At 45.4% G+C, this 12,833-nt stretch overlaps 1 protein-coding gene across 8 annotated transcripts in view; it reads left to right on the top strand.

Annotated features, from left to right (window-relative positions):
* The window catches only part of PECAM1 (platelet and endothelial cell adhesion molecule 1), a 71,446-nt gene that overhangs the window by 28,809 nt on the left and 29,804 nt on the right, over positions 1 to 12,833 (top strand). For 5 of the 8 annotated variants that reach the window (XM_005276883.3, XM_005276882.2, XM_005276881.2 and 2 more), the window contains exons 7-12: positions 1,637 to 1,912; positions 5,654 to 5,941; positions 7,012 to 7,119; positions 8,534 to 8,561; positions 9,589 to 9,662; positions 11,619 to 11,672. In XM_005276883.3, coding sequence (XP_005276940.1) covers positions 1,637 to 1,912; positions 5,654 to 5,941; positions 7,012 to 7,119; positions 8,534 to 8,561; positions 9,589 to 9,662; positions 11,619 to 11,672 — 828 coding nt within the window. The remainder of the gene's footprint in view (positions 1 to 1,636; positions 1,913 to 5,653; positions 5,942 to 7,011; positions 7,120 to 8,533; positions 8,562 to 9,588; positions 9,663 to 11,618; positions 11,673 to 12,833) is intronic. The other 3 variants (XM_017024741.2, XM_047436251.1, XM_017024739.2) reach the window with 1 other exon arrangement.

Raw genomic sequence — 12,833 nt, 5'->3', positions numbered from 1 at the left:
CCTTTCATTTAACCTGTGGCTGTGTTTTATCCAGCTAAGATTTTATTATAGCTTCAACTGAACCAGGATTTTAGCCTATTTTTAATGCTCTAACCACCTAACTCAAAAGGCAGGAATGCAAGAGACAAATGTGTGTTATAACGTTTTATTTTATTTTTTGTTCTTGGGAGGAGGAAATCTCATTGTATAAGGTTTAAATAAACTAATGCCTAAATAATGACCTAATATAATTCTTATCTGTTAAGAGGCTGAAGCACTAAGAAGACTTTTTTTATCTTTTTTTTTTTTTTTTTTTTTTGAGATGGAGTTTTGCTCTTGTTACCCAGGCTGGAGTGCAATGACATGATCTCGGCTCACTGCAACCTCTGCCTCCCGGGTTCAAGCGATTCTCCTGCCTCAGCCTCCCGAGTAGCTAGGATTACAGGCATGTGCCACCTTGCCCAGCTAATTTTGTATTTTCAGTAGAGACGGGGTTTCTCTACATTGGTCAGGCTGGTCTTAAAGTCCTGACCTCAGGTGATCTGCCCACCTCGGCCTCCCAAAGTGCTGGGATTACAGGCATGAGCCACCGTGACTGGCTGAGAATAATTTAAAAACATATATATTGGCTGGACCTGGTGGCTCACACCTGTAATCCCAACAATTTGGCAGGCCAAGGTGGGTGGATCACCTGAGGTCAGGAGTTTGAGGCCAGCCTGGCCAACATGGTGAAACCCCCTCTCTACTAAAAATACAAAAGTTAGCCGGGTGTGGTGGCACATGCCTGTAATCCCAGCTACTCGGGAGGCTGAGGCAGGAGAATCCCTTGGACCCAGGAGGTGGAGGTTGTGGTCAGCTGAGATTGCGCCATTGCACTCCAGCCTGGGTGACAGAGCAAGACTCGGTCTCAGAACACACACACACACACACACACACACACACATATATGCTCAGCCAGGTGTGGTGGCTCATACTTATAATCCCAGCACTTTGGGCAGCTGATGTGGGAGGATCACTTGAGTCCAGGAGTTCAAGACCAGCCTGAGCACATAGTGAGACCCTGTCTCTACAAAAAATAAAGAATTAGCCAGGTGTGGTGTGCACCTATAGTCCCAGCTACTCGGGAGGCTGAGGTAGGAGGATTGCTTGATTCTGGGAGGTTGTAGTGAGCTGTCATCGCACCAGTGCACTCCAGCCTGGGTAATAGAGTGAGACCCTGTCTCAAATACACACACACACACACACACACACACACACATTTTGTTGGCTACTTGTTGTACTTTTTCTATGTTTTCTGTGTCTTTGCTCAACACAAGAAAAGTATATTATGTGTGCATGTGCGTGTGAGATATGGTAAAATATGAACATGTATTTCTGGGGATGTAATGTTTTCCTTGAATTTCTGTCATTCTCTGTTTTGCTTATTGTACTTCTCTTTCCCTTTCCCTTCTCACCACACACACACACACACACACACACACACACACACAGCCTGTCAGTCTCATAGGTGTCCTATAAAGGTAAATAAGGCAGGCAGGCATTTGAAATTACAGCAGGGATAGAAAGCAAAGCTCAGGCTTTGGAGGAGGAACCTCTTGTGCTGGATGCTTTGCTTTTACCTTCAGTGCCTTTTGGATTGTTTCTCCCTCTGTTCTAGAAATGCTCTCCCAGCCCAGGATTTCTTATGATGCCCAGTTTGAGGTCATAAAAGGACAGACCATCGAAGTCCGTTGCGAATCGATCAGTGGAACTTTGCCTATTTCTTACCAACTTTTAAAAACAAGTAAAGTTTTGGAGAATAGTACCAAGAACTCAAATGATCCTGCGGTATTCAAAGACAACCCCACTGAAGACGTCGAATACCAGTGTGTTGCAGATAATTGCCATTCCCATGCCAAAATGTTAAGTGAGGTTCTGAGGGTGAAGGTGATAGGTAAGTTGCTGTGCTGTGAGAAGAAATCATGTGGGCTTGGGGCATTCTTTCACGCCCAGGGACTGTGGGAACAATAAGAGAAGTAGGGGGCCAGGTGCGGTGGCTCATGCCTGTAATCCCAGCACTTTAGGAGGCCAAGGCCGGTGAATCATTGAGGCCAGGAGTTCAAGACCAGCCTGGCCAACATGGTGAAACCCCATCTCTACTAAAAATACAAAAATTAGCTGGGCATGGTGGCGTGCGCCTATAATCCCAGCCACTCGGGAGGCTGAGGCAGGAGAATTGCTTGAACCCAGGAAGCAGAGGTTGCACTGAGCCAAGTTGCGCCATTGCACTCCAGCCTGAGCAACAAGAGCGAAACTCCATCTAAAAAAAAAAAAAGCGAGAGAAGTAGTGGGTGCTTATGCAAAGTCCATATACTAGATATGCACCAAAGCAGGGCCAAGGTTCAGTAAAGGAGGCTGGAAAATATTTGGGGGCTATTGATGAGGACAATGTAATCTCTTTCCAGAACCTTTCAACAAACTGCTAAAATATGATAAGCATGAAAGTGTCCTGACTGCAGGAAGCACTGAAGTTGTGCATATGGGCTCCCTTAGCACTTTCTCCTTTTCAGATACACTGTTCTGAGAATTGTAGATCAGGACTCTGCTGTTGTGACTCCTAGCCGGGCAACCCTGCCTTGTGTGAATTCTGCAGCAGTGAGAGCTACAGGCTGTGGTCTCATGGCAGTTACTAACATTTGCCTGGGATTCTCATCATACTCAAGAGAAATATACCATTGTCTTGGGGGTGGACAGTTTCCCTTAAGCCTCTATCTCATGCCTCTCAGAAGGCCTCAGGAGTGCCATTGCTTGCATGTCTTAGATATTTTGCATCCTGTTGTAAAAAGTTTAATAAGGCTTCCTCCTCTTTGTCCTTCTTGTTTAGTAACTGCCTATCTACATGGGCTGCTGGTGGATGTGAATAGGAGAGAGGGATTCCTGCTTCTATTCATGTATAGTCTAATAGTAGCCATACCTTTTCAATTAACATTAACATAGGCTGGTTGAGGTAGCTCACACCTGTAATCCTAGCGCTTTGGGAAGCTGAGGTGGGCGGATCACCTGAGGTCAGGAATTCGAGACCAGCCTGGCCAACATGGTGAAATCCTGTCTCTAATAAAAATACAAAAAATTAGCTGGGTGTGGTGGTGGGCACCTTTAATGCCAGCTACTCGGGAGGCTGAGGCACAAGAATCATTTGAACCTGGGAGGCAGAGGCTGCAGTGAGCCAATATCATTCCGCTACACTCCAGCCTGGGCAACGGAGCAAGACTCCATCTCAAAAAAAAAAAAAATTAACATTAACATAGACTAAGCACCTAATGGTGTGAGGCATACAAAAAAGAAGACATATTCTTTGTTTCAATGCTGTGGTAAGAAACACAAGCTCTCCTAATTAAATGATGGAGAAACATCTGAATCATAATACCAATAAGCATAGAAAAAATGTTAGGGGTCATGTTTGGTTGTCACGTGAACTATATCCTTACAGTGATGGTGATAGTAATTTAGGGTATGTCAGACTTCATCTAGCTTAAGTGGGTAAACATTGTGAAAAAGCTGGGCTAGGTGCCAGGGCTTGAGAATGGGTGGGCAGAGAAGGCTGAAGATGGCTGAACATCTCCAGCAAACACATGAGCCAAAAGGTCCCATGGGGCACTTCAAAAGACTGTGCGCAGCCAGGTGCGGTGGCTCACGCCTATAATCCCAGCACTTTGGGAGACCGAATGGGGTGGATCACTTGAGCCCAGGAGTTTGAGACTAGCTTGGCCAACATGGCAAAACCCCGTCTCTACTAAAAATACAAAAATTAGCCCAGCGTGGTGGTGGGTGCCTGTAGCCCCAGCTACTCAGGTGGCTGAGGTGGGAGAATCACTTGAATCCAGGAGGCAGAGGTTGCAGTGAGCCAAGATCGTGCCACTGCACTCCAGCCTGGGTGACAGAGTGAGACTCTATCTCAAAAAAAAAAAAAAAAAAAAAAAAAGACTGTGGCCAAATCAGATGGCTGGAAACAAAGGCTGGAGTTTGGGAATGGAGAATCACCGGATATGAGCTGAAAAAGTGGCTGAGCCTAAGCGTGACAGGTGTCAGGTGCCAGTATCAGGAGTAGGCAATTGTCCTGCATGCAGTGAAAAGCCAGAAGATGGAAGGAAGGACAGGATGCAAATGAGTTCTCGGAACGATCCACCTGGTGGCTGGGTCAGGGAGCAGGCATGGTGACTTCAGACCTCATGGTACGTTAGAGGCTAATGTGAAGCCCATGTGAAGCTGTTGGTTTAAACTGGGTCGATATCAGTAGCTCACATTTACTGACCATGTGTCCAGCCCTGTGTGAAGTACTGTAGTAAATTGCTCCAATGGAAACTCACAATAACCACAGAAGGCCAGTAACAGCATTGTCGTTATTTTATCATGACGTAACTGAGGCTTAGGGCAGACAGCTGGTGGGTGGTGGGACTGGGATTTGAGCCCACTGGTGTCCCAGGCCCGGAGCTTGGCTTCTTCCATTGTCTTACCACAGCCTGCACTCACAGGAGAGTGACTCATAAGTTACAATACCATCTGCTGACCATCTGCTCTCACACTAGAAGGAAAGTCTACTTGGGAAGACAATTTAGGATCCGAATTTTGGTAGTTGAGGATGGAGCTAGGAAAAGCGGATACAGGAGGTAGCCAAGTTCTGCTTGGACCTGCAGGGAGTGAGGCTGGCTGGGCTTCCAGGTGGAAATGCCCAGGTGAAAAGGGAGACTTGGAGTTCAGGAAAGTAACCTGGACTGGAGCCATAGGTTTAGGTGTCAGTGGCTCAGAGACAGAAGCTCAGCGTGTAGGTGAAATCACCCAGGAGGAGAATGGGGATGGAAAACTGAGGATTGAATTTTGCAAAATGTTCATACTTCCGGGGAAAACAAAGAATAACCAGTGAATAAGAAAGGGGTGCCAGGTAAGAAGGGAAGAGAATCAGAGTCATGAGGAAGCCCAGAAGCCCAGAAAAAGCTGAGTTCCACAGTAAGACCTGGGCAACAGTGAAGTATGGAGAGCCCAAGATTGGGAGCGTGGAGGAAGAGCATCCACCACTGAATTTAATCAGCAGGGGACTCAGGGACGTTGGTTGGGGAATCAAGTGACCTTCCCAGTTTCTTCAAAACTTGAGAGAGAGTGCAGTGTCACAAGATTGTGACTACAAAAGAGTGCAGTCAGATTTCAGGGGTAACAAGAAAGTGTGAAATAAGGGAGTCAAAGCATAAAGGAAAAAGGAGAAAAAATGGCCGATAGCTAGAGAAGGCAGTGGGTCAAGATTGTCTGTGGCCTGGCATGGTGGCTTATGCCTGTAATCCCAGCATTTTGGAAGGCCGAGGTGGGCAAATCACCTGAGGTCAGGAATTCAAGACCAGCCTGGCCAACAGGGCAAAACCCCGTCTCTAAAACAACAACAACAACAAAAAAATCCAAAAAGTTAGCTGGGCCTGGTGGGCGCACCTGTCATTCCAGCTACTCGGGAGGCTGAGGCAGGAAGATTTGCTTGAACCCAGGAGGCACACGTTGCAGTAAGCTGAGATTATACCACTGCACTCCAGCCTGGGTGATAAGAGCGGGACTCTGTCTCAGAGGAAAAAAAAAAAAGTTGAGCAGTGGCTGTCTCATGTTCCTCTTCCTCTGCCCTTCTTTGCTCAGTGTGAATCCTTTTCCTGCTTTTCAGCCCCGGTGGATGAGGTCCAGATTTCTATCCTGTCAAGTAAGGTGGTGGAGTCTGGAGAGGACATTGTGCTGCAATGTGCTGTGAATGAAGGATCTGGTCCCATCACCTATAAGTTTTACAGAGAAAAAGAGGGCAAACCCTTCTATCAAATGACCTCAAATGCCACCCAGGCATTTTGGACCAAGCAGAAGGCTAGCAAGGAACAGGAGGGAGAGTATTACTGCACAGCCTTCAACAGAGCCAACCACGCCTCCAGTGTCCCCAGAAGCAAAATACTGACAGTCAGAGGTGAGTCAGGGTCTCCATAGCAAGCTGTGCTGTGGGCTCCCAAGGGCAAGACCAGAAAACACACCCCTTGTAAGAGGGAGTTGGGGGGGAGTCTAGCTTATGTGACTGAAGGCTAGGAGAGTAATGTCCTCCAGGCTCTTGGTTGCAAGTGACAGAAACCCACTCAAATTAAGTAAAAAAGAGAAATCGATTATTATAAGGAATTGGGAGAATGTCACATCGTTCCAATTACAAATTGTTGGCAGACTCACCATTGAGTCATCTTGGGTCAAACATCCAACCACAGACCACCTGTAGCCAAGGGGATTGGGTCACGCAGAACAGACATGATTGGGGAACCCACTTATGTGGGTGGGGGCGGTTTCCTGGAGAGGAAGAGGGCTGAAAACACATGCCAAAAAGGAGTCTACTCCACTTGAGCCCTGGAGTTGGAGACCAGCCTGGGCAACATGGTGAAACCCTGTCTCTACAAAAAGTACAAAAATAGGCTGGGCGCAGTGGCTCATACCTGTAATCCCAGCTACTCGGGAGGCTGAGACATGAGAATCACTTGAACCCAGGAGGTAGAGGTTGCAGTGAGCAGAGCTTGCTCCACTGCACTCCAGCCTGGGCAACAGAGCAAGACTCTGCCTCAAAAATCAAACCAACAAAAAATAGCTGTGTGTGGTGGTGTGCTCCTGTAGTCCCAGCTACTCGGGAGGCTGAGGTGGAAGGATTGCTCAAGCCCAGGAAGTTGAGGCTGCAGTGAGCTGTCATCAGCCTCTAGCCTGGGTGACAGAGTGAGACCCTGTTTCAAAAAAGAAAGAAAAAGAAAAGAGTCTACCCCAGCAAAGCTGGTTTGTTCCCTCCTTGAGGACCACAGCTGACCTCTATTTGTAGCAGAAACAATCATTTCTGCACCAGCTCTGAGTGCAGAACCCCTCAGAGGTAGATGGATGCTAAGGCAAGCTGCCAGTTACAAGAGCTGTGAGAATCAGACTGACTTTTGTTGCTTAAGCCTGATATTATTTCTTCCTGGCAGAGGAAGAGCCTATATACAAAAAAAATTTTTTGTTTTGTTTTGTTTTCAGTCATTCTTGCCCCATGGAAGAAAGGACTTATTGCAGTGGTTATCATCGGAGTGATCATTGCTCTCTTGATCATTGCGGCCAAATGTTATTTTCTGAGGAAAGCCAAGGGTGAGCATAGTTCTTTCCTTCCATACTGACTGGTCGTCCTTGCCAGGAAACCAGCCAGGGATGCGTGGTGCTTTTCTGACCCCTGGATTCAGCTAGGCAAAAATGAAAGCTATTATTTTCCTCATTGGGCAAACCAGAAAAGATAAATTTGGGGGGAAATTGCATCTTTGTGTGGTTAGAAGAAGCCATTTCTGTAGATTTGTCCACACCTAGTCCTGTAATGCGTGTAGAGTGGGGTGCAAGTGTCTTGGAGACACACAAACATGCGCATAACACCCACATGTTGCACACACACATTGAATGCTTTGTAATTAACCTGGTGGTTGTGCTGTGACTTCTACCCTATGCTTGGGGTTAGCTAAGTAAGCCCGGCTGAGCAGCCAGGACCACCTGCTGATAACCAGGAATCAGAGTCAGCTGTCCAAGACTCAAGGAAAAGGGCAGAGCATCAGTAAATCCTGCAAAAATTTTTTTGTGGGATAAGGTAGGTTCTTTTGGAGCCTCTGGTGCTGCTGCCCAGGATGGGAGGGGAAGATGGGGTGAGGAGGGGCCCTGGTTTTTGTCAGGAAAGCTGCCACCCATCAAGGAAGATAGAGCACACCCTGGCGTTGATCTTAGGCCAGCTTCGAGTTACAAACGCAGGGATTGATTTCGCCTTTACTTTTTGTAATTATCTGGAATCAAAGAGAGTGGTCAGGCACGGTGGCTCACACCTGTAATTCCAGCACTTTGGGAGGCCAAGGCAGGCAGATCACTTGAGGTCAGGAGTTCAAGACTAGCCGGGACAACATGGTGAAACCCCCATCTCTACTAAAAATACAAAAAATTGGCCAGACGTGGTGATGGGTGCCTGTAATTGCAGCTACTCAGGAGGCTGAGGCAGGAGAATCACTTGAACCTGGGAGGCAGAGGTTACAGTGAGCCCAGATCACATCACTGCACTCCAGCCTGGGCAACAGAGCAAGACTCTGTCTCAAAAAAAAAAAAAAAAAGAGAGAGAGAGGAAGAGAGCTGCCTGCTTATCTGGCTAATCTGGTTCCCATATCATTGTCTCTTTTTCCATCATATTTCACTAACAAAAATCACTTCTGGCTAAAATAGTCAAGATATCATGTTTCTGGGGAAATATCTTGGTATAAGACCAAGAGAATACCTCTTTCTTTTCTGTCTTTTGTAAAAGAGTGAATATATTTGGCTTCTTTTTCTCTCTTTTTCTGGGTATTCAATCTTCTGGGAAGTCAAACGTAGCTGAAAAGAGTGTTCCTTCACAGCTTACTAGGAGTAAAACAAAAAGAAAAGAAAAGTGTTTTCTATCTATTAGGTTAGTGCAAAAGCCATTGGCGTTTTGGCCATTATAGTGGTATGGATGTGGGTACTGTATACTGACTTTGGTTTTTCGTTTTCTGTTTTAAAGCCAAGCAGATGCCAGTGGAAATGTCCAGGTGAGTGTATTTGTAAGAAGGGGGCGGCTGCTCTGTGAGCACGGTGGACATGTCTGGAGGGAGATTCTGGTCATTAGGAAGTTTTCAGTGGCTCTTGGCAAACTTAGAAAAATATAGGCCTTCCTTGGGTGTGAGTTGTGTGTGTGAGTTGTGTGTGTGTGTGTGTGTGTGTGTGTGTGTGTGTACCTCCGTGGAAGAATGCCAATTGTCCTTTCATGGGAAGGAATGGCTTTTATTCTGAGATCATGTCCTTCCTACATGATTATTTGTGAAATCTCCCTTTCTTTATGAAATTATAATGGTAGTAGATAAATTTTTTAAAATTTGACAAAATAGAGTTGGCCTTTAAAAAATGGTTTTACTACCTTTACTGTTGTTGAAATCCCAAATCCAAAAGTATAGAAATGATTGCTCTGTTCCAGAGAGAAACAGTAGCGTGGGATAAGAATTTCAGGGGCTTGGTAGTAGCCTGTGAAGGACTCCTGGTATTCATGTGTGCTTTGGTCCTGATGTTTATTTTAATAGGAAAAAGTTTTATCACCGCCAAGCATGGTGGCTCGCACCTGTAATCCCAGCACTTTGGGAGGCTGAGGCAGGCAGATCACCTGAGGTCAGGAGTTCAAGACCAGCCTAGCCAGCGAAACCCCATCTCTACTAAAAACACAAAAATTAGCCGGGCGTGGTGGTGCATGCCTGTAATCCCAGCTACTCGGGAGGCTGAGGCACGAGAATCGCTTGAACCCAGGAGGCGGAGGCTGCAGTGATCCGAGATTGCACTGCTGCACTCCAGCCTGGGTGACAGAGCGAGACTCTGTCTAAAAAAAAAAAAAAGTTTTTTTACATAATCCTTGGAGCTGCCAAAAAATATTTGTTTTCCAAATGAGAGAGTAAAGTTTTCCTTACCTTGGAAAACTCTTCCTGGTTTTCTCATGATCTTCCCTTGTTTACTTTGGTGGTTTGGGGTTAGAACAATAACAACAACAAATATATCTATATATTGTTTTCTGTTTTTATATTTCATTTTAAGGCCAGCAGTACCACTTCTGAACTCCAACAACGAGAAAATGTCAGATCCCAATATGGAAGCTAACAGTCATTACGGTAAAGTCATGTTCTCCTGCCATTTCTAATTTCCCCCAACTTGCTACATACTTCCTTAGCCCTCTCAGAAGCAGAATATGTAAGTGGTGGGATTACAGTTGGAAGAGAAACCCTGGCTTCAACAGGGTACTTCATCTCATCAGCCACTGGGCCATGTAATATACGGAAACGTAAAAGGAAAGGTAACATATTTTATTCTAACTTTGCCACCTTCCAAACTCCCCGTAGAAGAAATATGGAGAATAATCATAATGCCTTCAAAGACTTTGAACATTGCTCCAGCGTAATATTATAATTCTCCATTTTCAAGACAGAGACCAGGTATTGAATGAAAACATTGGTAAAACATCTTCTCAGATGGAATTATTACAAGCACAAGACAGTTTTACTTCAAATTTGCCACAAAGGGAATGCAATTTCAATATTCTCTCAGTAAAGGCATAAATAAAGTGTTCCAACTAAGAAATATCTATTCATAAGGCTCATCAGTAGCTTCAGGGTCAGCTCAGCTGAATGAGTAGCCAGTCCTAGGAGTTCTTAATCCCAGGTTAGTAAGAAAATTGCTCAAGCATTTCAGCAGGGATGCTACTTACTTCCCAGAGGGGGCTATAATTACATCACAAAAAGTCCTGTCCCAGACCAAATTTGGAACACTCTTCCTCTTTTCTTTCTTTCTTTTTTTTTTAGACAGGGTCTTCCCAGGCTGGAGTGCAGTGGTGCAATCTCAGCTCACTGCAGCCTCTACCTCCCAGGCTCAGGTGATCCTCCCATCTCAGCCTCCTGAGTAGCTGGGATCACAGGCATGTGCCACCATGCCCAGCTAATTTTTATTTTTTGTAGAGATGGCACTCTACCAATGCTGGTTTCAGACTCCTGGGCTTAAGAAATCCTTCTGCCTTGGCCTCCCAAAGTGCTGGGATTACAGGTGTGAGCCCCTGAGCCCAGCCACTTTTCTTGCTTTATCAGCAGGTTTGGTCATAGAATGCTCATGTTCTTTTCTAATTCTATAAATGTCTCACAAAATAAGAAATTTTTAGGATATACTTTTTACAGAGACATATTTTGCTTGAGAAATATGTTTTAAGAATTGAGTAATTCATATAGTACTGAATCATAAACTTTAAAAAAGGAAAATAAAATATTTGTAGTAATAAAAGTAATGTGTCAGTAAATAGAAACGAGCAAATATATTGTTTAAGAAACTATATTCTAGGCTGGGCGCGGTGGCTCACGCCTGTAATCTCAACACTTTGGGAGGCCGAGGTAGGTGGATCACTTGAGGTCAGCAGTTCAAAACCACCCTGGCCAACATGGTGTAACCCTGTTTCTACTAAAAATACAAAAAATTAGCTGGGCATGGTGGTACATGTTTATAATCCCAGCTACTCAGCAGGCTGAGGCAGGAGAATCCCTTGAACCTGGGAGGTGGAGGTTGCAGTGACCTGAGATCTCAACATTGCACTCCAGCCTGAGCAACAAGAGCGAAACTCCATCTCAAAAAAGAAAGAAAGAAAGAAACTATATTCAGGCCAGGCATGGTAGTTCATGCCTATAATCCCAGCTCTTTGGGAGGCTGAGGTGGGAGGATCACTTGAGGCCAGGAGTTGGAGACCAGCCTGTGCAACAAAGCGAGACTAGGAGAATCGCTGGAATCTGGGAGGAGGAGGCTGCAGTGAGCCGGGATCGCACCACTGCACTCCAGCCTGGGTGACAGAGCAAGACATTGCCTCAAAAAAAAAAAAAAAAGAAAGAAAGAAAAAAAGAAAAAGACTACACAGCAGGTCAAATGGAGCCCACAGGAGGGCCAACGAGGGGACCCAGGACCCAGAGACAGTGCTGGTTGTCACTACACTGAATAAATCAGGCTTGACTTTGTTAGGGGTACTGAATTTTTAAAAGGTTTTAGAAAACTAGAATTTCCCTTGTCACTCACCCTAATTGTTATTTTTCAACTAGGTCACAATGACGATGTCAGAAACCATGCAATGAAACCAATAAATGATAATAAAGGTAATTATCTAATTACATGTTTTTATTAGAACCAACTTTTACATTAAAAAAAAGACTCATAGGAAAAGAAAACTAAAACTTGAAGGACTGTGGATAATTTCCCACCTCTCTTAATGACCCTGTACCCAGCCGATGTGTCAATGAAGGTAGCTAGCTGCTTTCACCAGAGATGCTATCTAGTGTCCTCAGTGGGAAAGTCACCTAAATCAAAGTAGGGAAGAACTGGGTTATACTCAAAAAACAACTTCCTGACTCATAATGAGCTACTGGGTAAGGCAGTGGGACCTCTTTTTTCTTGAGCATTGAGGTGGTGATTTTTAAAGACAATGGACAATAAATTGCTCTCTTCTGCCTGAAGCACTGAGGGATTGGACTAAATCATTTTTCAAAATTCCTTTCGCTCTGGGCTGCTGCCATGGGAGCTAAGGCTCCTAACAAAGAGAAAGGATTCTGTTAAGGTCTCTTCCTTTCTTTCTTTTTTTTGTTTTTTTCTTGAGACAAGAGTCTCGCTCTGTCAGCCAGGCTGGAGTGCAGTGGTGCGATCTCGGCTCACTGCAACCTCCACCTCCCGGGTTCAAGCAATTCTCCTGCCTCAGCCTCCCAAGTAACTGGGACTACAGGCGCCTGCCACCACGCCCGGCTAATTTTTGTATTTTTACTAGAGACAGGGTTTCACTGTGTTGGCCAGGCTGGTCTCAAACTCCTGACCTTGTTATCTGCCCACCTTGGCCTCCCAAAATGCTAGAATTACAGGCGCGAGCCACTGCGCCTGGCTCTTTTTTTTTTTTTTTTGATACAGAGTCTTACTCTGTCACCCAAGCTGGAGTACGGTGGCACAATCTTGGCTCACTGCAGCCTCCGCCTCTCGGGTTCAAGCCATTCTCGTGCCTCAGCCTCCCAAGTAGCTGGGATTACAGGTGTGTGCCACCATGCCCAGCTAATTTTTGTATTTTTAGTATTGGTGGATTTTTACCATGTTGGCCAGACTGATCTCGAACTCCTGACCTCAGGTGATCTGCCCGCCTCAGCCTCCCGAAGTGCTGGGATTACAGGCATGAGCCACCACACCCAGCCTGAAATGTATCTTTGACTGCAGAATCATTGTTTTGGTAGCTGATGAGAATCCCTATTCTTTAGGGCTTTAAAAACAAAACAGTAATG

The sequence above is a fragment of the Homo sapiens genome, chromosome 17 (genome assembly GCF_000001405.40).
Source record: "Homo sapiens chromosome 17, GRCh38.p14 Primary Assembly".
Lineage (NCBI taxonomy): Eukaryota > Metazoa > Chordata > Mammalia > Primates > Hominidae > Homo > Homo sapiens.
Note: the sequence above shows the minus strand (reverse complement) of the source record. Positions and strands in the feature narration are given on the sequence as shown.